The sequence below is a fragment of the Homo sapiens genome, chromosome 3 (genome assembly GCF_000001405.40).
Source record: "Homo sapiens chromosome 3, GRCh38.p14 Primary Assembly".
Classification (NCBI taxonomy): Eukaryota; Metazoa; Chordata; class Mammalia; order Primates; family Hominidae; genus Homo; species Homo sapiens.
In genome coordinates, this window is record NC_000003.12 from 62,052,698 (window position 1) to 62,077,540 (window position 24,843).

Genomic DNA, 24,843 nt, shown 5'->3' on the forward strand with positions numbered 1-24,843 from the left:
AAAAAAAGAAAGAAAAGAAATGGCCTGTCTTTGGAACTCTCTTGCTCACATTCTGGTACATTTGGTTAGCCTTTCATTTCCTTGTTACTTGACTTTAAAAAGACAAAAGAGAAGAAGAAAAAATAAACTGCCATTTATTGTTAGATTTCAACCATAAGGAAAACACCTTATCTGTATTTATTTACATGTTGATAATTGCCTTCTTTCTGTTTGTCAGATACATATGCATATCGCTTTGTTGATAGAAAAGACGGAGATACCCAGAATAGCCAGGAAGCACAGCCCACACCACGCATTAATTTTTAAACCATTTCTTAGATCACAGAGTCTCTTGAATCCATTCGCTTTTCCAGTTTCAATAGTGTTTGACAAAAGGAATGTGTTAGTGTGCATTCCTCTGGCTTTGATTTTTTTTTTCCTAAGGATACATCAAACTCTTGACAGATATATGAGTGTCATTTTTTGTGGTTTAATATAGACTGTATTTATATTTATAAATGTAATTGCTCTCCAAAGGAAATCAGTAATTTGTTAGTGATTATCTGTATTTTGAACTTCACTGCCTTGGGTTTTTTTTTTTTTTTTTGGAGACGGAGTCTCTTTCTGTCTCCCAGGCTGGAGTGCAGTGGTGCTATCTCAGCTCACTGCAACCTCCACCTCCCAGGCTCAAGTGATTCTCCTGCCTCAGCCTCCCGAGTAGCTGGGATTACAGGCGTCCGCCATCACACCTGGCTAATTTTTGTATTTTTAGTAGAGACGGGGTTTCTCCATGTTGGCCAGGCTGGTCTTCATCTCCTGACCTCAGATAATCCACCCACCTCGGCCTCCCAAAGTTGTGGGATTACAGGCATGAGCCATCATGCCTGGCCTTCCTTTTAATAAATTTGAAACTTATCTAGCTAGTGCTTAATATTCTGAAGGGATGAATTTGTTTGCTGTAAGAAAGATAAGCATGGCATCTGCTTCACACCTGTGGTGTTGGGGATAAAGAGCATGCAGTAAGTTATATTGAGGGACCTTTGCAGGATCTTCAGGGGATGGCCTCTGTTCTGGGATTTTTTCTCATCTAAATGTAAACTAAAATATAGATTTCCTCTCCCCATGAGAGCATTTAGAGTTACGAGGCTCAAACTGCTGGTTAGATAATTTGACTTCCTAGCTCTGCCAAGCCCAGCTGTTCATGCAGTGCAAAATTTTTTAAACTTTCTATTGAGGTATAGCCTACATACGGTGAAATGTTCAAATATGAAGGGTACTACATGAGGGACTATACATGTGTATACACCCTGTAACTACTGTCTGGGTCAAGATATGGAACATGCCCATCACTCTGAAAGGCTTCCTAGTGGACCTTCTCGGTCTTAACCTTACCCTCACTGCACATCTATGAGCGTACTGACTTCCATCCTCTTCTGTCCCTTTTTGTCTATTTGTGACCAACAATGATTGCTGCTGCTATTGTAGTCCCAATTGTTAGACTCAGAGTCATTCTTGGGACTCTCACAGGACAATTCTAACATTTCTATAGCTCCAATAGGAGGACAAGGCCTGTCTGCCTTCAGACTCTCCTGGTAGGCCTGAAGTAATATACAAGGTATTCATTATTTGTTAGCTACTGTTTTGAATAATGGGTTTCTTTCTTCTATTTGGCCTTCTCTCCAGTTGGTCTTTAATGTGTACGTCACCTGTTTGGAATAACTGGTTATGTTAGTGTCTATAGATCCATTTGTAAGGATCAATTTGTCTGAGTAGCTTGCTGTTTTCTAACACTGGTTGGGGCCTCCAGGGATAGAAACGTGGGCCAGGTGATTTGATAGAGAGGGAAATAATCAGGAAAGTCAGTGGTTCTTCTGGGTGTCACCTGACTTCACCTGGTTGCCAGAGCAGACTGTAAGGAACAAGAGGCAAGTTAGCAATAGAGGTTGAGGCAGCTGCCTAATCATGTGTCTCTTTGGGACATTTGAATTCTTCCAGGTATTTGGAAATGGAAGCAGAAATGGAAATCTTTGTTTTTGTACCTTTTTTGAGTTATATTTTGCAGTCTTAAAAGAACTGCATTGTTCCTTCATTTATGAAGCGTACGGGAGTATGTGACAGGGAATTCAAAGATGTGGTTTTGCATTATACAGTGCTTACGTGAGAGGCATGTATTTTGCTGAATAAGTTCATGGACGAGGTATAAAGATGAAATTATAGGCTTTAGTGGGAGCAAAAAGTAGACACCACTTCCATGTTTCCATGGGGAAATGGGTCAGGGGAGCGATTGCTCATTGGAATCAGGAAATAATTCATGTAGCAGGTAGCACTTAATTTGAATCTTGAAAGATGATGAGTAGGAGTTTTTCAGGTAGAATTATATCTCAAGTTTTCCTGCTTCTGGTTGTTCTGAACTGATACACTCACATCATAAATTGCTATTGTAGTTAATATTGTAATTAAGGCCCAATTATGTTTCAAGTATCAGTGGAATTGAGTCCACACTTTCATTGCATTGCAAAATTTAAAGCAGTAATTAATATAGGACTATTATTATACCATTATACTCATTTTAAAGATGATACCATACTTAGTTTTCTATGTTTTGGATTAAAATTGCAAAATGTGTTAAAAAATGTAAAGGCATCACAGAAATATCGCTAATAAGGCTTAAATCATTGAGGCTGGGCATGCTAATGAGAGAACAGCTACTGTTTGTTGAGCTTGTAACACGGACTAGTCACTCTGCTTTATTTTATCACAACTGCTTTTCATAGCAACCTCAATAACTAGGTGCTTGTTAGATCTAATCCTGTTTTTCAGATACAGAAAACGGAGACATAGGTGAAGTTCCCTGTATTTATTTCCTAGGGTTGCCTTGACAAATTATCACAAGCTAAGTAGCTTAGAACAGCAGATATTTGTTGTCTTACAGTTCTGGAGGCTCCACATCTGAGATCAAGATGTCTGTAGGGTTGGTTCCTTCTGAGGGCTGTGGGAGAGAATCGCTTTTGTGCTTTTGCTCTTAGCTTCTGGTGGTTTGCAGGCAGTCTTTGACATTTCTTGGCTTTGTAGATGCATCACTTGCCTTCATCTTTGTGTGGCATTCTCCTTGTCTTTCTCTGTGTCCACATTTCCCTAATTTTTAAAGAACATAGTCATATTGGATTGGGATTCATTCTAATGGCCTCATCTCAATTTGATCATCTGCAAAGACCCTGTTTATAAATTTTCCAAATAAGGTGACAGTCATAGGTATACAGAGGATAAGGACTTCAAAATCTTTTGGGAAGATATAATTCAAACCATAACATTGCCCAAGCTCACTCAGCTAGTAAGCAGTAGAGAGAATTCAAATCCAAGTACATATGACTCTATAGCCCAAGGCTCTAACAACTGTGCCATTATACATTAGGGAAATACATTCGTATCCAAGAATATTGTACGTTTTAAAATTCAGCAGTGAGTAGGCAAATATCAGGATATGAACATCCCATCCAGACAGGATTGACTTCGAATATGCCCTGGTAAGAAGTGTTAGTCCAGTTGTCATGGAATTGTAGATGTTTGCTGTCCACTGAGATATGTGTTATGTGCTTCGTTCTGTACAAAGGGTATAGGAGTGATATTCTATTTAGTCTAAATCAAGCTTGTCCAACCTGTGACCCACGGACCACATGTAGCCCATGAGGGCTTTGAATGTGGCCCAACACAAATTTGTAAACTTTCTTAATACCTTATAAGATTTTTTTTTTTAAGCACATCATTAGTGTTAGTGTATTTTATGGTAGCCCAAGACAATTCTTCTTCCATTGTGGCCTAGGGAAGCCAAAAGATTGGACACCCCTGGTCTAAATACAAAACATTGTATCTCAACCTCAGCATTTTGGGCTTAATAAGCCTTTGTTATGTCATGTGCATTGTAGGATGTAAAATAGTATTCTTGGCCTAAAATATCTAAGATGTAATAGATGCCAGTGGCACCCCTGACACAGTTGTGACAACCAAAAATGTTCCCAGACATTACCAAATGTCCCCTGGGGTAATTACGATTACTGCAGTTTGAGAACCACTGGTTTAGAAAGAGAGGAATGACATGTGGCTAAACTGTGCCACCCTGTCACTTGCTGTGCTTTGCCTAGACTTTGTGTCTATTTAGGGTGGTTGCTGGCAAAGTGTGAGGAAGACAAACTGTTTCTGTTGAACTTCCCTTGAGGCTCTATGTCATTCATGGACACGAGAAGGAGGTCCACAGATGGAATGGAGAGTTGAAGACTGAAAGCGCATTATGCATGCTGTCTGCATAACTTGACTTTTACAAAGCGAGATAGTGGCTTTGGAATAAACGGGAGATAAAAGTAAAGCTCTTTCATCTAAACAACAAGGATTATCCATGTTTCCAGAGAAAGGCAAATGACTCTGATGGCAGACTGAAAGTCAATGTTTTGACTTAACTATTTTGGGAGGTATTTGCAATTGAGATCAGAGTTTTAATGGGCCTTACCTGAGAAGGAAAGGCAGGGATGGTTAACCCTGGCTACACCTTTGGGTTTTTAACCCTGGTGTTTATGGTGAGAAACCACAGCCAATCTCAGCCAACCATTGAACATTGTCTGGAAATTCTGACTTAAGACTTACCCACATCCATCCTTCATCCTCCAGTTTACACTGTTTTCTGTTGTCCAGGAAGATGGAGAAGTACCTCTTTTTTTATTTCAAAAGAAGTGCTTTTCTGTAGGCTGCCTTGTGGGACTCCCAAAGGATGCCATTTCCTGAGACACGTCAAGGTATCTGCATCTTAGACAGTGGTGTTACCATGTCCGCACATCAGTCAGTGCATTTTCTCTTGGCCCCAGGCCAGTAATGTGGTTGTGTACACTGGTCACAGCTCAAAAAACTGAAAAATGAACTCTGAGCTTTACTGCAAAGAATGCCAGCTAACAAAAATAACTCTGCCAGAGCAGTGCCCTGGACAGGTTTGCAGCTCTGAGATCTAACAGTGCTGATGTATGGGAGTCCAGTAGAATGCTTAAAAAGAAAGGAAAAAATAGAAAAAATCCATCTGCTGTGCCGTTAACATTCCAAAAAGGTAATGCCCAAGAACTCCAAATGGGTCCTAATGTGCTGTTTAAGACTCAGAAAACTCAGCTTTAAGTTCTACACCACTCTGTGCTCCCAGACTGGGAACAAAAACAGGGTATTTCCGTGAAGTGCAAATAGATGATTGTATGGAGGAATCAGTGGGTAGGAATTATTTTGCTAGCATGTTAAAAATACTTCAGGTGTAGGCATTTCAAGAAATAATAAAGCCCAATACTCTAACCCTTAGACCAGAACTTGGGGCTACAGATGGAATACAATGCTTTGAATAAAACTATAACCCCTACCAGAGACCTCTTTGAAAACACAGCAGTGCTAGTATGGATGTGCTTCCCCTAGCATGCAATTCCCCATGGATCCAGCCTTATTGCGTTTCTCTGTACAATTCAGAAAGCAGGACGGAAAATTGTGTGTACCTAGCCCAAGCTATCTTTATTGTCTGATGTCTAATACAACCTCATTCCTAACCTCACCTTAATAATCTTATAAGGGAGCATAAGTTGCCTTACGGTGGGAAGGAACCTTGCTAGTGTGATGACATTTGGATATGCACTTATTTATTATTATTATTATTTTTTTTAGAGACTGGGTTTTGCTATGTCAACCAGGGTTGTCTGAAACGCCTAACCTCAAGTGATCTTCCCACCTCAGTCTCTGAAAGTGTTGGGATTACATGAGCCACTGCACCCAGCTGGATGTTCATTTTAAGTGCGTCAGTCCTTTTATGCTAAAGCTTGTCATCCCCCTCCCCCTCATACACACCTTTTTGTTGGGATCTACAGAAAGTCACCTATGGATACTGCCAAGCTTCATTCTTGCCCTGCGTTTATGGATCTGGGGAGTTTATGTCCTGAGTATGTAGGCCGTGGGTCTGTCCCGGGAAGCAGTGCATGTGTAGGTGCTGTTGTTAGCATGACCCAAGTAGGCAGTAGGGACCAGGTTGAATTCAGTGTTGATAACAGCATCCAGCAGATAGGACTAGGCTTAAATTCTGACCAAGGCAGTTGTTGAGTCAAACTAGGTCCAAGAAGAAAGAAAACAGAGCCCCAGTGATCTGAACCCACTGAAGTTGAGCTCTACTCCCAAGGGAAGGGCTCTTTTCTTCCCTAAACTGCATTATGATCCCTGCTGTGTCTTTCCCTTTGCTTATGAGCAATTGTCACACCAGAAGGAGATGGGGACTCTACCACAGAACTCTGCTCTTGGTAGGCAGACGGGAATGATCATCCAGTGTCTGGCCTGATGAAGCATCAGCCCCAGGTATCCGGTCTGCTCTGAAGGGGCACAGATTGTAGAGTCACTGGATCCCTAACTGTTCACCAGCTATGTTCTTGAAGCAGTTTCTTAACCTTCCTAAAATTCCCTTTCCCAGTCTTTAAAATGGGGATAATAGTAACACCCGCTATGTAGAATTGTCATGAAGATAAAATTTCCTAATCTTCACGAAGCACATGTCCTAGGGGACTCCTTCATAAGTGGAACTCACAAAATTATAGATGATTCTTAGACTTGGACTCTCTCAAATTCTGGTTCCTCATTCCATTCCCCTACTAGCAGTCAGCTTGAAAACAGCTCTAAAGCTTGCCCTCTGAAGACTCTGATCTCATTACCCCAAACCCCTATTGTCCATAAAACAGATCAGGAATGAGAATTCAGCTTTTGATCTTACCTTGTAAGAAATATGGACCGAGACCTGGTATGAAAGACATTTGTTTTAAAGCGTCATAGAATCTCATGTTTAGAATGAGCTTAAAAACCAACTGCTGTTGAAAGTCAGGAGTTGGCTGGGCACAGTGGCTCACGCCTATAATCCCAGCTCTCTGGGAGGCCCAGGCAGACAGATTGCATGAGCCCAGGAGTTCAAGACCGGCCTGAGAAACACGGCAAACCCCATGATATGGTTTGGCTGTATCCCCACCCAAATCTCATCTTGAATTATAGTTTCCATAATCCTCACATGTCATGGGAGGAACCTAGTAGGAGGTAGTGGAATTATGGGGGCCGTTACTCCCATGCTGCTGTTCTCATGATAGTGAGTGAGTTCTCACGAGATCTGATGGTTTCATAAGGGGCTTTTCCGACTTTTGTTTGGCACTTCTTGCTGCTGCCATGTGAAGAAGGACGTGTTTGCTTCCCCCTCCACCATGATTGTAAGTTTCCTGAGGCCTCCCCAGCTGTACTGAACTGTGAGTCAATTAAACCTCTTTCCTTTATAAATTACCAGTCTTGGATATGTCTTTATTAGCAGCATGAAGACAGATTAATACACACCATCTCTACAAAAAAATACAAAAATTAGCTGGGCATGATGGCACAAGCCTGTAGCCCCAGCTATTCCCCAGGCAGGAGGATCGTTTGAGCCCAGGAGGTCGAGGCTGCAGTGAGCCATGGTCACACCACCGCACTCTAGCCTGAGCAACAGAGTGAGACCCTGTCTCAAAAAAAAAAAAAAAAAAAAATCCTTCCTGCTGATTTCCTGTATCTTGATGAGAATGAGTTGCACCTTTAGTGGCTGTAGCCTAAGAAGGAAACTGAAGAACTGCAGATCAGGGACTATCATTTAATGGCTACTGGCTACTGTTACACTTCCTGCAAGCAGTAATAGGTAAATAGAAAGTCAGTAGATGGTTACTCTTGGTTGGAGGGTAGTGACCAGATGAGATTGCACAAGGCTTCTGGAGGAGCAAGAAGCGTTCTCTTTCCTCATCAGGATGCCAGTTACGTGGATGTGCTCACTCTGAGACTTCATTGAGATCACTCACAGTTGCACTTACAGCTATGCACTGTTCTGTCTGTATGTCAGTATTTAGTAAAGTTTGAAAAGAAATCTTGTCATCCTGTGCTATGTGGTTCTTGTTTTAGTCTTTCTTTGTTGTTGTTGTCTTGTATTTCTTGTTTCAAATATTTACAAAAGAAATTCTCCTTGATAAATCTTTAAACAATACTGAAGGTATGGAGTAGAAATTGAAGTCATTGTTTTATCTCTATTCTTGCCTGCATTTTCAGTTCTCAGAGGTAACCGAAGTTAAATATCTTATAGATTGTTTAAGGTTTTCTGCCCTCCTTTATCTGAAATATGGGATGATCATAATACATGGAGTTCTGTAACTTGCCTTATCATTGGCTTTTTTTGCATATCAGATACAGAATCAACATAGTTCTTTTTAATACCTGCATAATATTTCATAGTATGGATGCATCCTAATTTATCTTGTTATTCTCCTAAATTGTCAATGAACGTGTCTGTATCCTTCTGCTATTATAAATAATGCTTCTTGAACTCCCTGAATCTCCCTTGTAACATTTGTGACACTGGTCAAATCCCAACTAAGGTAGCCTGTTTTAGCATCCCTTGATTTAAAATACCTTCTTTGAAATTAAGCTTTTGTCCTGGAGTTTTTAATGGGCACAACTCTCTATGATGACTGAAATCTGAAATTTGGGAATTACAAACCAGACTTCCTGGGCAGACTTCTGAGTGTGTTCACTGTTGTGTATTATAAATTCAAGACAAATTAGAAAAACAAATGTTTGAGCAGGACTGTATTTAAGGTATCGTATCTCTGGATGTTTTCTATATCCACTAACAAGATAGGTCATGAATGGAGCCACTCTGTAACCTGATTATTGGTTGACACCATCTCCGGTAGACTTTTGTCTTCATGAAGTCATGGTTTTGATATTTTGCTGTTTTTATCCCCTCCTTTAAACTCTATTTTTATTCCAAATTACTAACTTCCCTGCTGAGATTTATCTATCAGAGTCTCAAGATGCTCTCATTAATAAAGTTATTAACCCCTTTGCTAACTAGCAGCATCCAAAGCCTAAAAAACATTACTTGGCTTTCTCTTTTCTTTTCTTTTTTTTTTTTTTTAGATGGAGTCTCGCTCTGTCGCCCAGGCCGGAGTGTAGTGGTGCCATCTCAGCTCACTGCAATCTCTGCCTCCTGGGTTTCAGCGATTCTCCTGCCTCAGCCTCCTGGGTAGCTGGGATTATAGGCGCCCGCCACCACACCCCAGTTAATTTTTGTATTTTTAGTAGAGACGGGGTTTCACCACGTTGGCCAGGCTGGTCTGGAACTCATGACGTCGGGTGATCTGCCTACTTCGGCCTCCCAAAGTGTTAGGATTACAGGCGTGAGCCACTGCGCCCAGCTGCCTGGCTTTCTCTTGATGCCAAGGTTGCTGCTTTTACAATGGCTGGCTGTTGGAGAGTGGCATTTTTCGTTACAATTTAGTATGGGGGGGCGGGCGTGGTGGCTCACGCCTGTAATCCCAGCACTTTGGGAGGCCGAGGCAGGTGGATCACCTGAGGTTGGGAGTTCGAGACCAGCCTGACCAACATGGAGAAACCCCATCTCTACTAAAAATATAAAATTAGCTGGGCGTGGTGGCGCGTGCCTGTAATCCCAGCTACTCAGGAGGCTGAGGCAGGAGAATATCTTGAACCTGGGAGGTGGAGGTTGCTGTGAGCCGAGATTGTGCCATTGCACTCCATCCTGGGCAACAAAAGCGAAACTCCATCTCAAAAATTTAGTATGGGATTAAATGAATGGATAGCAGGATGAACTGTTGTTTGATAAAGCAGGTACATTTAAATGTTAAGGGAGGTATCTAGGTGGGTTGTATACAGGTGTTCACAGCAAAATTCTTTCAGCTTTGCTCGTATGCTTAATGCTTTTAGTTAATAAAATGTTGGGGGGAAAGCATATGAAACAATAAGAAAATGGGAAAATCTAATTAATGAGGGACTTGATCTGAGTCATATGTAAATGAATTCCCTATCAAGTAACCAGTTCAACAGAGACATCTATTTTTTGAAAAGAAGTTTTGTAGAAATTACAATTATACTAATGATGAGTAAGAAGATAATGTTGATCTCATCTCATAGATTTTATGGCATTGTTTTTTTTAAAGGCAGGATCTCATTGTGTTACTTAGGCTGGTGGGCAATCATGGCTCACTGCAGCCTGACCTCCTTCTGGGCTCAAGTGATTGCTCTACTTCAGCCTCCCAAGTAGCATGGACCACAGGCATGTGCCACCATGCCCAGTTAATTTTTGTAGAAATAAGGTTTCACCATGTTGCTTAGGCTGTTTTCAAACTCCTGAACTCAAGCTATCTGCCCGTCTCAGCCTCCCAGAGTGCTGGGATTACAGGCATGAGCCACCATGCCCAGCCAATTTTGTGGCATTCTTACTTGCCCTGTGGTGTTAAATACTAACCCCAAACTAGTGTAAGGTTATATTCAATCATCAAACTTTGTTTTAAGTCATCATCATTCAAATGTATGTAAAAGCATCATCTCAATTTTGCATATTTGGAAATGGGGACCCAGAATAATTAAATGATTTACCCCTGATCTTAGCACCCGATGAGGCAGAGCTTGAACTTGAACTTTCATTTTCTAATTATTATCTTTTCCACTCCATCATATGTTTTCTCTGATTATGAGATTCTGAAATCCACATTTTCCAGAGAATTGATAGAAAGATCATCAAGCCAAGGATTTTGAACTATGATCAAAGCTACAATGGTGGCAGCCCACTGTTCTTTTTACCACTAAAGCCTTTATCCAGTTCAGAAAATGCCTCTCTCTAATCATTCCTGTTGGGTTTTAACCAATATATCAGGAAGACGTGCTTTGCTGAGCTTTGGGCAGCCTTGTTTTGCTCTCTGATTCTCTGGTGTCCTTCTGAGCAAAGATACGGTCTGAGAGAGTTAATATTAATACTTTGTGTTTATATAAAGTAAAATTATAGTGCACAGTGTAATTTTATGGCTAGGTAGGTGGGAAATTATTAGTCTAAATAAATACACTTTTTAGTAGAGCAGCTGTGTTAAGTAAATTAAATTCTGCATAAATCTGAAACAGTACCTCGATTTTCATTTTTATTTATTTATATTTTTTGTAGAGAACTAGTATCGCTATGTTGCCCAGGCTAGTCTTGAACTGCTGGCTTCGAGCAATCCTCCTGCCTCATCCTCCCAAAATGCTGGGATTCTAGGTGTGAGTCACCTCACCTGGCCTCAATCTTTTCTTTATTTCTTTGTTTCCTTTGGAGTGTTAGTGAGCTTGAGTAGTTGTGCGTTTCATTGTGGTAAAAGATACATGAAGAGTGAATTGTGTTACAGTGAGATCAGGAATAAAGGAAGATTACACCCTGCGTGATGTGGAGCTGTCTGTTGCTAGGGGCTGATGGATGCATTCCTTTAGAACACTTTGCTGATGAGGCTGGTCTTCTGAGTTAGGTCCCTAAATGGATCTATTAGATTCACCCTCTTCTTCTTACAGCAGTGGTGGGGTTTGGGTTTTGTTCTTTTTTGGTTTTTCTTTTTCTGCTCATTTCAAGGGAGACTTTTTTTCCGATGAGCTACATTTTTAGAGCCAGCAAGTGTTTTAAACAGTTGGGATAAACCACCTTTCTTGGCCCCAAATGAATACAAGTCTTCTCCCCAGAGAAAACTACTGTTAGTTTGTGCTGTTTTTCCAGACGTGAGCCTTCCCTTGCCTTAGATCTATATACTTGGGCATATACCCACAGGACACAAACTATACTGAGTTGTATGACATTTTTAAAGTCAAATGTGATCACAGTGTATTTATTTTGCAAGTTGATTTTCTCCTCTAACAATATATCTGAGAACTTTCAAGGTTGGTCTTGAACTCCTGGTCTGAAGCAATCCTCCTGCTTCAGTCTCCCAAATTAGTGCCTAATTTCTTCCTTCCCCTCCGTAGGTTCTACCATTCTCCTATTTATTATGCATATCAAGTTTTTCTTCCCCTGATGCCATCGATGGTGGGGCATAGATACTTGAATATTTGTCTTTGTATATGCAGCACTTGTGGCAAAGTATTAATATTGTGAATAAAGAGCTCCTTAAATAATAAAACAGGAAATCATTAGAAAAAACTAAGTAAAGATTCTTTACTTACTGGTTATTTGGATTTTTTTTTTTTTTTTTTTTTTTTTTTTGAGGCGGAGTTTCACTGTTCTTGCCCAGCCTGGAGTATAATGGTGCAATCTGGGCTCGCCGCAACATCCAGCTCCCTGGTTCAAGTGATTCTCCTGCCTCGGCCTCCCGAGTAGCGTGATTACAGGCGCGTGCCACCACGCCAAGCTAATTTTTTGTATTTTTTAGTAAAGATGGGCTTTCACCATGTTAGCCAGGATGGCCTTGATTTCCTGACCTCCTGATCCTCCCAGCTCGGCTTCCCAAAGTGCTGAGATTATAGGTGTGAGCCACTGCACCCAGCCTTGTTTGGAAATTTTTAAATGAGAGCAGAAGTACCCATCCAATGGTAAAAAATAAGAAGGATCCATAAATCCAGTGTTACGAATGGTATAGGAAAATTGGTATTCTCCTGCACTGTTGATTAGAGTAAAAAAATGTGTGTAATCTTTTCAGGGGATGGTTTGGCTTGAACTGCTTCTAGATATCTGTCTTAGAGGAGGGATTTTTTGCTCACTGAGGCATGTTTACATATTTTTTTAGAGGTAGTGATTTTTAACCTTTCTAGCTTGTGGAGCCCTTGAAGATTCCAGGGAAGTCCATGGTTGTGTACCGCATGAGACCAGGGCTGAAAATGGGTCTTTCAGCACATGGTTGTAGATGGAACCATAGAAATCTGTCTGATCAATGAACTGTTGAAGTGATGGACACTGTTCAGTGAATACATGTACCACCTTTGGCAGTCTTTCAGGGGGCTTGCAGCCCTGCTGGAAGCCAGATTCATAGTTCCATAAATTTGTTTTTCCCCCTTGATCAGTCATCTGACCAATGCTGTTGGTTATTTTAAGGGATACTGAATAATAATAATAATAAAAAATCCCGGTGGAGCAATGCAACGTATTTTCTCCTGTGTGGGAAATAACTCATTCATTCATTCCATAGTCATTTAATGAGTGCCTACCATGTGCTTAGCTTTGTAAGGACCCTCCCAGTGGGAGAGGTCATGATACAACATCCAGAAGAACCTTTTGTAAGGGGATCTCCACCAGAAATGATAAGATGACCTCAGGAACAGAAGAGCTCTTTTAAAGAACAGATGTTCTAGACCAGTTGACCCAGCTAACCTTAAAAATACTTCACTGTAGAGGTTCTCCCAAGGACACTAAAGGGTGTGGTTTGGATTTATAGAACTCAGAAGCGTTTGGAAGCCTTTAGTTGTTTTGGATGTGTGTTCTCAGAAATGTTTTGCAGCAACCTTTTTCTTATGGAGAACCATGATGTGGTAGCATTCAGCTGTATAGTGCAAAATGTAGTTTTCCAGATAAAAGAGCATAACTTGTCTTTGTGACAAGCTTTCTTGGAGGTCTCTGGCTGGGAGAAGAGGAGGGAATACAACCAACTAGATCTACACCTGTGTTAATTTTGCTTAGCTTAATTGCAAATTCATGACGTCATCATTTCCCCGAAAACATGACGAGGTGGAAAATACAATATCAGAAATGAGGAAAGAACTCTAATGGTAACTTTGGTTGAGAAAGTAACAAACTATATTTCAGGTTTCTTGTATTTCAAAATGGGAGACATATTGCTGATTCCTAGTTGGTTTTGAATGATTTATAACCTTTTATTTGTGGCTGAGTGTTGCAGTCTATGTTGTCATGGAAATTCTATTGAATTTATAGGTCCATTTATCCAAAATGATTTTCCAGACTTCATTTCATGGTGAATCATGTGGCTGTTACTCCCAAGTACAAAGCAATTTCTAAAAAGTTTCATATTACAAAGAGCACAAACACTGTGGTAGTGATTTTTGTGTTTTTGAAATACAAATGAGTTCCAGATGCACCTAGGGGCCCCTCCCCCTCCACTGTGTCCAAGGCGTTAAGCTCCACTGCATTTCAGAACCAGCTTTATACATAGAATAGCCATGCAAGCAAGGAAACGTTGTTTCATTAGAAAAGAAAGCCATTGCAGTCACCTCAAGAGAAGTTGAAATTACTGGTTTATGTGTATGGACAAAAGTGCTCTCCTGGCTGGGCGCGGTGGCTCATGCCTGTAATCCCAGCACTTTGGGAGGCCGAGGTGGGCGGATCATGAGGTCAGGAGATCTAGACCATCCTGCTCAACATGGTGAAACCCCCTCTCTGCTAAAATTACAATAATTAGCTGGATGTGGTGGCACGTGCCTGTAATCCCAGCTACTCAGGAGGCGGAGGCAGGAGAATCACCTGGACTCAGGAGGAGGAGGTTGCAGTGAGCCGAGATCACGCCACTGCACTCCAGCTTGGCGACAAAGTGAGAGATTCTGACTCAAAAAAAAAAAAAAAAAAAAAAATCAACTGCTCTCCCAGTTTCAAGCTCCCTCACAGCAGACTTGATCCTCCCCCTCAAGGTTCAGTAGTGGTGTGAAAGGGAAAGAAAAACAAAGGGCTTTACCATGCCCACTGATAATGTTTCATGTTGACAGGGGGTGTAGGACAGGGTTTCTGCATCTCAGCACTATGGACATTCTGGGTGGATAATTCTTTTCTTTTTTTTTTTTTTCTTTTGTCAACCTCCAAAGCGTGAGTAGGCACAGGAAACTCCCATGATGTGGGGCACTATTCTTTGCATTTTGGGGTGTTTAGGAGCACCCCTGGCCTCTACCTGCTAGATCAGTGGTCCCCAACCTTTTTGGCACGAGGGACCGGTTTTGGGGAAGACAATTTTTCCACGGACCTTGTCCATGGTGGCGATGGTTTCAGGATGAGTCACTTGCATTGTATTTATTGTGCACTTTATTTCTATTATTATTACATTGTAATATATAATGAAATAATTTTACAATGTATAATTGTATAATGTAGAATCAGTGGGAGCCCTGAGCGTGTTTTCTTGCAAGTAGATGGTCCCATCTAGGGATGATGGGAGACAGCGACAGATCATCAGGCATTAGATTCTCATTAGGAGCGTGCAACCTGGATTCCTTGCATGCGCAGTTCATAATAGGGTTTACGCTCCTGTGAGAATCTAATGGCATCCTGATCTGACAGGAGGCAGAGCTCAGTCAATAATGTGAGCTATGAGGAGCAGCTGTAAATACAGATGAGGGGGTTAGGGACCTCTGTGCTAGATGCCTATCACCCCCTCAAAGAGTGACAACCAAAAATGTCTCTAGACATGGCCATATTTCCACTGGGGTACAGAATCACCCCATGTTAAGAACACTGCTCTGGAAGCTTTGTACTAGGACCCTAGAGAGAACTAACAGGTAGTGCTCATTGCTAATGGAATTCTGGTGAGGATGTTGTGTGGTAGAACAGTTTTAAGTAAGTGGGCTCTACAAGCAAATGCCTAGATTTGAGTCCCAGTGTTAATTACTTCTTAGATAAGACCTACTATCTCAGCCTTAATTTCCTTCTGTATAAAATAGGAAAAATAAGAGTATCACTTCTAGAAAATAGTAGTATTGATTTAAGGAATTAATTGATGTAAAACGTTCAGAATCGGGCACATTTAAACAACCCTCCTGAGTGCTTTATGCTTGAGGCTGCCTCAGGGGAAAGGGTAGGCAGGGGCAGTGCCTGGCTCTTGTAATAGTTATTGGGCCCTAGGCTGGAGGGATTCTCTATGTTAAGGCCAGTCACTGGAACTTGCTCCGTCAAGCAGGTAAGTTCAATCTGACCATACTGTCAGATTTAAAGTAGCTTATATTAAATGGAATGAATGCAAAACAGGGCAGTAAACTCGGCCCTACTCTGTTTTGGTTTGTTTGTTTGTTTTTAATTGAAGCAGAGTCTCACTGTGTCACCCAGGTTGGAGTGCAGTGATGCAATCACAGCTCACTGCAGCCTTGAACTCCTGGGCTCAAGTGATCCTCCTGCCTCAGCCTCCTGAGTAGCTAGAACTACTGGTCTATGCTATCATGCCCAGCTAGTGTTTTTGTTTTGTTTTGGTTTGGTTTGGTTTTTTGAGATAAGGTCTCCCTATGTTTCTCAGGCTGGTCTCAAACTCCTTGGCTCCAGGAGATCTCAAAAACATCCTGGCACCCAAGTATATGCCTCATAGCCCTAGTGTGCACCTTAGGTTCTACTGCCCCAAAACTTGGGATTCCTGCCGTAAAGTAGTTGAAGATAATTCCCTGTTACAGGGCAAATGAAAACAGGAAATAATTAAGGATTAGTGTACTCTGTGATTAATGATATTGCATAAAGGAAGTGTTTGAGAATGTTTATTTAAATGCCACCTTGCCTGCAAAGATACCCGCTACCTACTATTCTTCAGAGCTTGGTTCCTCTAAAAATATTCTTCCAGTGAATGCCACACACTGGTTTCTTTGCCACACCCTGTGGCATGACTTCTTGGGATGTTGGCTAGCCTGTGGAAATGGTTTATTTGAACCTTACTTTAAGTATCCCTTCTGGTCATGAAGAAAGTCATCAGGACATATTGTAAGAGAAAAATGAGAGCTGTTTCATCAGTTTTTACTTCTCCAAAGCAAGCGCTTAGCGAAAATGTATTACAACAGCCCCTTGAGGTGTGAGTATTACCTCTATTTCACAGAAGGGGACACTGGGCCTTAGAAATCTCCAGGCTCTTCAATATACAAATCCGGTCTTATTCTATAGCAAATACTCTTAGATCTTCATCTAATACTGCCAACTTTATGGATATTTTTCTGTAAGCTGTAAGAGTGTGAACTGGGCTGTAACAGGGGCTACATTCTCCAAGGTAGAAGCCTGTTAGAAAGAAGTGAGAGAAGATGATAGAGTTCAGAGCTCAAAGAAGCTCAAAAAGTAACGGAGTTGCAAAATGGTTTTATAATGTGATACACAGACAGACATACCTGTGTATGTTTGCTTAAAACCGGTAATGATTTTAGGGGGTGTATTAGTCAGGGTTCTCCAGAGAAAGAGAGCCATAGGATCGATGTCTCTCTCTCTCTCTCTCTCTCTCTCTCTCTCTCTCTCTCTCTCTCTCACACACAGACACACGCACACACACACACACATGCACGCACAGAGTAACTCCGGCCTATAATTCATGAATTTTAGCTAAGTTACTCTAGCTAAGTTGATCTTGCAGTCTTGAGTTCAAAGGCTGGAAACCTGAGCTCAATCTGTGTTGCAGTGTAGAGGCAGAATTCCCTCCTCTTAAAAAGACCTCAGGTCTTCAGCTGATTGCATGAGACCCACCCACATTATAGAGGGTAATCAGCTTTACTTCTAAAGTCTACTGATTTAAATGTTAATCACATGTAAAAAATACTTTCACAAAAAATAACAATGATCCTTTTAAAAAGTAACTAGGAATAAAAACTTTGTTCAATAGGATAAAACAAAATACCCAGAGTGTTTGTGTTATGTATTTTAATGTAATATGTATAATGTATATTTATCATTTTTCTCCATAATTTAAATGAATAGATCTTCTTTTGTTGAAGTATTAAAATTTTAGGCCAGAGTTACTTAGACAATGGTTTGACTTTCTTGTGAATTAAAGAGAAAGTAACATAATCTGTATTTAGCAGAACCATACCTGGAGTCACTTGGCCATTTCACAGTGATTTTGGCTTGTATTTGCACCTTTCTGAGCATTTACTCCAGCAGTTTAAATTCCTTCATTCTTTCAATATCTTGAGCCCTCCTTGCCACTGATTTTGTTATTTATTCCAAGAGATGGCATGGATTTTGTTAGTGTTTATGGCTTTATCACTTGGCTGTCCTTGCTTCAAGCCACTTAGAGCTCCCACTCATTTTATTCATTCCAGAAATAAATTACTAGTATTTACAATGGGCAGCACTGTGCTAGGGACACAGCCTTGCACTGCACAGACTTACGTCCTGCGTGCATACATCTTTCTGTCTACAGGCAATGGCAGAATTAGAGTTAGAGTGTAGTGTGTTGAGTGTGTGCGTCCTGGCCTCCTTAATACTAGCCGTTACAAAATAATTTAAAAATCATGTTAGATTAGGAGCTTATTTTACAAAATGCTTAACTCTGTCATCATCCTACGCATGTCATCAAAAAAGCAGAACTGGCAGATTCACTGTGTTTGGATGTTTACTTTGCCTTCACTTCACATCTTTATTCTTAGGCACCTGTTTCTTGTCCACCACCACGTTCCCACTGGCAGGTTAACACCAAGCTTGATTAGAAAAATACGTTTCCCAGGTTTGTCAAAGTAACCTGCACAATGTGCACATGTACCCTAAAACTTAAAGTATAATTAAAAAAAAAAAGAAAAAAAAAGAAAAATACATTTCCACCTCCTCAGTTCTGTTGTCTGCTGCCTCCTATGTGATTTTTAATTCTGCTGTTGCCTTTTTGGTTACCCTCTTTATCTCGTCCTGTTTACGTCTCATCTCCATCTGTTCTTTTCTGTAGCTTTTGCCTGTGTGTTCTTCCACTTTAATAAAAATCCCCAGCAGTATCCTGGAAATGTCTATTGAGTCGTTCAGTAGATTGCCTTCCCCCTGAGCTATCTGCATGCTGTTTCCTTACTTACTCCGTCATGATTTTTTTTCTTGGACCATGTGTGGGGGGCACGTGGGAGAAATCGCTTTTTGAGAGGAAATAAAACGTAGAGCTTTCTAAATCTGCATATAAATTACTGTTGGGTTTTCTACTCTCATGTTGGGATCATTTCCTTTTGCTTCCATGATCACAGCAACCAGGGAGCTGACTTAGGCACACAACTATAATAGTAGGCACACAACACACCTTCTGGGAAATGCCCCCTCCTGCCCATTGCCTGTATAAATGTAGTATTTGTTTAATAGATGCCTCACTTGACCATGAGCCACTCATTGCCTTATGCTTTTATTTCGTGATACACTCAGTCAGCTTTGGCACTCAAAAATAAAGTTAACCTTGTCTCATTAATGATATTTTAGTCTTCCTAAGTGCAGACTGTATCTTCATCTGTCATGGTGCCTTACAGACAATAGGCATTAAGCAATACTCCTGCCAATTGGAAGGAAGCACAGTGATTAAGATCTTGAACTCTGAGATTTGAAAGACAATTTTGAAATATAATTTTTCTGTCCCAACCCCACTTTCCTTCCTTAGGAGCTTTGTAAATTTCAAATTACAAATTTTGTAAATCCTTAGTTTCCTTGCCTATAAAATGAGAATCGTACGGATACCTATCTCACTGAGTGCCAATGAATCATAGTACAGTACCTAGCATACAGTAGGTACTTACTAAAGGTTTGAAAAACATTAACAATGTTTTAATATGATTAAAAGTATCAAAGGCTCAGGTTTTCAGATTTGTTGCTTTCTATTCATTCAACTTAACATGGACAGTGACACATGTAGGAAACCAGACATATACACATTTGTAAAGTCAAACTACAACTGGAATTATTTTAAATGTAAGGGAGAAGTTGCACAAGGCAGGAGGAAAGGGAAGCTAGGTGGACATTTTGTTGTCACTTTGTATGTATCACACTAGTACCTTACAACAGTGGAGCATTGACTGTTGTCAACCCTGTACTCACAGTGTCCTTTTCACCTCCCTCCCATTACTTGACAGTATTGGGATTCATGCAGGCATTTGCCATATATGTATTTTAGGACATGTTTCCTGGTCGATGATGATGCTTTTAATGTGAGTTGTTTTGCCCCTGTAAAATTCCATTTTCCAAATGTCAAATTATGCTATATGATACTCTATGTTATCCATCACCTTGATCTGGCTAGAAAAACACCTGGAGGGTTTTGCAGTCAAGACATTCCACAAGGCAGAGTTGAATGATCCATTTGGGCTAATGACTCTCACTTACGACTTTGAAAAATTTGGCAGAACTGGTCCCATGATTGTGCCCTGGTGCAAGCAGTCTATCGGTGGCTTTTTAATTGAGTTTCATAGAGTTTGTTTCTGTGCTTGAGAATATATATGTGTATGTGTGTGTGTGTGTGTGTGTGTGTGTGTGTTTTATGTATATCATATATAGTATCTGCTATCTCATGGAACTCTACATGATGAAGGAATGTCTGTTTATACAGGATTGATTCAACTTTCCTTCCCTTGCAAAAGAGAGGCCTGCTTGGAATAGGTTCATCGACCTTTAAGCTATATAGTTTTCTTAAAGAATCAAACCCAAAGTATTCTATTTCAACTATGTTTGGAAAATACTGAGTTAAAGTTACTAAGTCTTCGAATAACCTTTGAACCAGGACTTAAATGGCCAATTCTAGGGATAGGGCAGGGAAAATGTAGGATGAGCCCAAAACATCTGTGCTTGATAGGAGTTGCTAAAAAATAAAAAAATAGGAGAACGTGGCAGAGTGACAGGGAAATAGTTTTGAAGGGTCTCCTACTGGGCAAATGTGGGACAATCTGAGCATCAAAATACATAATGTTAGTAATGGAATCTGATATCTGATAATGGATTGAATAAATAGAAACAAAAATAAACAAGTCCATATGGATGTAAATGAATGAATGAATAAGTGAATAAACTGCAGTGCAGGGAAAGCAATTCCTTACTCTAGAATGCCAGTAATGAATATAGAAGGAATGGTGGAGTTAGAAAGTCACCCAAGGATACTAAAGTAGTGAGTCAACATTAAATGAGGAGCAGGATATTTATCTCATGCCAAAGTATCTCTCTACAAAATACTTTTTAATTATGAAAGGAAAATTAATAACATTATAGTGGAGAAGCCCAATAGATAGCACCTTAGCCACATGATCAAGATAAATACCTCCAATAGCGGGATAAACCCGCATAAATGTGCTTGCTGATATGATGCACGGAGAAGATATAAATTTTTTTTTTTTGAGACTGAGTCTCACTCTGTTGCCGAGGCTGGAGTGCAGTGGCGCAATCTCGGCTCACCACAACCTCCGTCTCCCAGGTTCAAGTGATTCTCCTGCCTCAGCCTCCCAAGTAGCCTCCCAAGTGGCAGGCACCTGCCACCGCACCTGGCTAATTTTTGTATTTTTGTAGAGACAGGGTTTCACCATGTTGGCCAGGCTGGTCTCAAACTCCTGACCTCAAGTGATCCATCCACCTTGGCCTCACAAAGTGCTGGGATTACAGGTGTAAGCCACCACACCCAGCTGACAAACCTCAATTCTATGAAATTTCTGCCCTGTACGCTTCCAACTGTCAGAGTAAAGAAAGAGGCTCAGTAACTGTTCCGGATGAAGATGGGGTTGGAAGAGGTCAGTGTAAAAAGACAGGACAACTAAATACAAAGTTTGATCCTAGATTGAGTTCTGGACTGAGAACCAGAAAATGATCTGTAATGGACTTTATTTGGGCACTTGCCAAAACTTGAAAATGGTCTGTGAATTAGATAATAGTATTGTGTTAATGTGAAGTTTGGTAATTCTAATAATTATTCTGTGATTATGTAAGAGAATGTCCTTATTCTTAGAAATTACTCACTTGAGTATTTAGTGGTAAAGGGGCCTATTATCTCCCATTTGCTCCCAGATGATTGAGGAAAAAAAGTGAGAGTGTGTGTGTGTGTGTGTGTGTGTGTGTGTGTATACAGAGAGAGCGCAAAAGAGGTATAGTATAAATAATTGGTGATACTGGGTAAAGGAGATAGGGAACAGTTAATAGATCCCTTTATTGCTGGATTTTCCAGATCTTTTTTTCTTTTTTTCCTTTCTTTTCTTTTCTTTCTTTTTTTTTTTTTTTTTTTTTGAGACAGGATCTTGCTCTGTCACTCAGGCTGGAGTGCAGTGGAGCCCTCAGTAGCCTCAATAGCCTCAACCTCCTGGGCTCGAGCAATCCTCTCACCTCAGTCTCCTGAATAGGTGGGACTACACTCACCACTCCTGGCTAATTTTTTGTAGAGATGAGGTCTCACTGTGTTGCCCAGGCTGGCCTCAAACTCCTGTTCTCAACCAGTCCTCCCACTTGGACCTCCCATAGTGCTGGGGTTACATGCATGAGCCACATTGCACCTGGCCCCAGATCTTTTCTTCAGCTTACGTACACCACGTTTCTTCATAGAAGGATTGCTGTAGAGTGAGCATCACTTAGATTAACATTACTAGAAAGAACAGACTTTGGGGAATATTGAACGGAGGGCTCTGGGATCTAGAGCCCAGAATGTTGAAGGGAGGGCTCTGGGCACAGTTCATTTTGAGGATAAAATTGATGGTAGCTACCCCAAACACCTGCCAAAGGTGTTTTTGGAAAATAGTTTCCAGCCTCTGTCCAAACTTGGACATCACCACCGCTGACAAAGTATGTTTCAATTCACGCATGTCCAATTCACTCAGCAAAACCTCATCTACTTATTCTTACATTTTAGACACTTCAAATATTACCGTAATTTGTTAGGCTACAACTTGAGAAAAATAGTAAGAAAAATAGATATTTCAGACCTGTGCTACTGTCCTTTTTATGAGACATTTTATTATCCAGATGGGTGGAGCTGTGACCCAAACACATTTTCTAAAAATGTATTTTTTTACCCACTTGTAAATGAAAATGCCCTTGAAGAGGTCTTAAAGTATTTTGTATCACACGCTATTCGGGTGATGCATTAAACAATGCTGCTCCTGCACATGGGCTGAAGTATAAGAAAGCCTTCTGTGAACCTACTTAATTTGAGGGCCTGAGTTTTAAAAAGAAAGTGAAGTGTAATTTTCTGAATACACCTGTGTTAAGTTTCTTTCTTGGGTTAGTAGTATTGTATCCAAAGCAATTCACCTAATATTAAACCATTCTAATCTGTACCTTATTGAATGGATTTTTCTCTAAAAATTCATGATGTCTAAAGCTGTCCAAACCGTAAGGCAACACATTTGTAAGAAACTGCCAGAATTGGTGCAAATTTACAGTCTTAGGAAAAAGAATTACCTTTAAGAAAGAAAACTCTCCAAAAGAAAACTACCCATCCTTCTCCCATGTACTTAGGTATCAGAATTTTCCTAGGAAGTGTCCTGATTTGGGCTACCTGATTGCCCTCTTCACAGAAGAAATGCCGTTGTATTCTTAGCATTTGAGTTAATTCAGTCATCAGAACTCTGTTTACCTTTGACCTATATTTAGCTTTTCCTTCTGGGACTTTATTGTTCACCGTCAAATCTCTAAATCTCTCTGGGGTGTGGTTGTTCAGTCTATTACAGAAAATAGCATCACGCCTTTTGGAAAAGTAGGGAAATAGAGGTCATGAAAGAACTAATTATATAGAAGATACTGTTTTCTGTAAGGAGTACCATCATTCTAGATGGTTCAGTGGAATCACACTCTTACTAGAAATGTTAAGATGTTTGCCAAATGTTAATCTTAAAATATGATGATGATGATGATGACCAGGCGCAGTGGTTCGTGCATGTAATCTCAACACGTTGGGAGGCCAGGGTGGGCGGATTGCTTGAGCTCAGTTACTCTAAACCAGCCTGGGCAACATAGTGAGACGCTGCCTCTAAAAATGTATATATATATGTATAAAAACTAGCCCGATATGGTGGTGTATACCCGTAGTCCCAGCTGCTTAGGAGGCTGAGGTGGGAGGATCGCTTGAGTCCAGGAGGTCAAGGCCGCAGTGAGCCATGATCATGCCATTGCACTCCAGCCTGGGTGACAAAATGAGACCCTATCTTAGAAAAAAATACATATGTATATATGGTGATGATGATGGTGATTTGTTGAGCATCGATGAGGTCTAACCATGGTGCTTCATGTTATACACTACGTTAACTTATTTGAGCCTCACAATTAGCCCAGTAAGTGGAAATACTTGACTTTATGCCTAAGAAAGCTGGTGCTTGCAAGTAAGGAAGCTGGAATAGGAACCCAGGTCTGGTTTTTTTTGTTTGTTTGTTTGTTTGTTTGTTTGTTTTTTAATCAGTGTGGAGGCTTCTGGGGATACCCAATGGTTCATTTTTGTTCTCTACATCTTTTTTTTTTTTTTCGAGACAGAGTTTTGCTCTTGTTGCCCAGGCTGGAGTGCAATGGCATGACCTCGGCTCACCGCAGCATCCGCCTCCCAGGTTCAAGTGATTCTCCTGCCTCAGCCTCCCGAGTAGCTGGGATTGCAGGCATGCACCACCATGCCTGGCTAATTTTGTATTTTTTGTAGGAACAGGGTTTCTCCATGTTGGTCAGGCTGGTCTCGAACTCCCGACCTCAGGTGACCTGCCCGCCACAGCCTCCCAAAGTGCTGGGATTACAGGCGTGAGCCACTGCATCCAACTGTTCTCTGCATCTTTTTAAATGTCAAAATGTGTGCCAGCATTAAAGTTGTATAATGATTCTGAGTTGACTTACCTGTGTTCTGCTTTTTGAATAAGAAATTCTAGTCAGGCCCAGTGGCTCACACTTGTAATCCCAGTGTTTTGGGAGGCTGAGGCATGCAGACTGCTTGAGGCCAGGAGTTTGAAACCAGCCTGGACAACAAGGCAAAACCCTGTCCTTACAGAAAATACACAAATTAGCTGGGTATTGTGGCATGCACCTGTAGTCCCAGCTACTCAGGAGGCTGAGGTGGGAGGATCTACTGAGCCTAGGAGATGGAGGCCGCAGTGAGCCGTGGTGGCTGCCACTGCATTCCAGCCTCGGCCACAGAGTGAGAGTGAGTTTGTTTGTTTGTTTAAAAAAAAAAAAAACAAACCATAATGCTAGCCAAATGTAAGAGAAGATATTTAAGGTTGGGATGAAAGCACATGGATTTTGGATTCTCTCTGATGTGTAATAGTAGGCAAATTATCGTCAAATTTCTGAAGCACTATTTTCTCATCTATAGCTGAGTATAGTAATTTCTGCCCTAATTTTTTTTACAGGGCTTGTTAAGAGGATTAAGAAAAATAATGTGTGGGTTAGCTTTTTGCAAAAAGGTGGTTAACTCCATTAAAATT

General features: G+C 40.8%; 1 protein-coding gene across 7 annotated transcripts in view; it reads left to right on the forward strand.

Moving 5' to 3' along the window:
- PTPRG (protein tyrosine phosphatase receptor type G) overlaps positions 1–24,843 on the forward strand; it is a 736,039-nt gene that overhangs the window by 491,127 nt on the left and 220,069 nt on the right. The window lies entirely within an intron of this gene.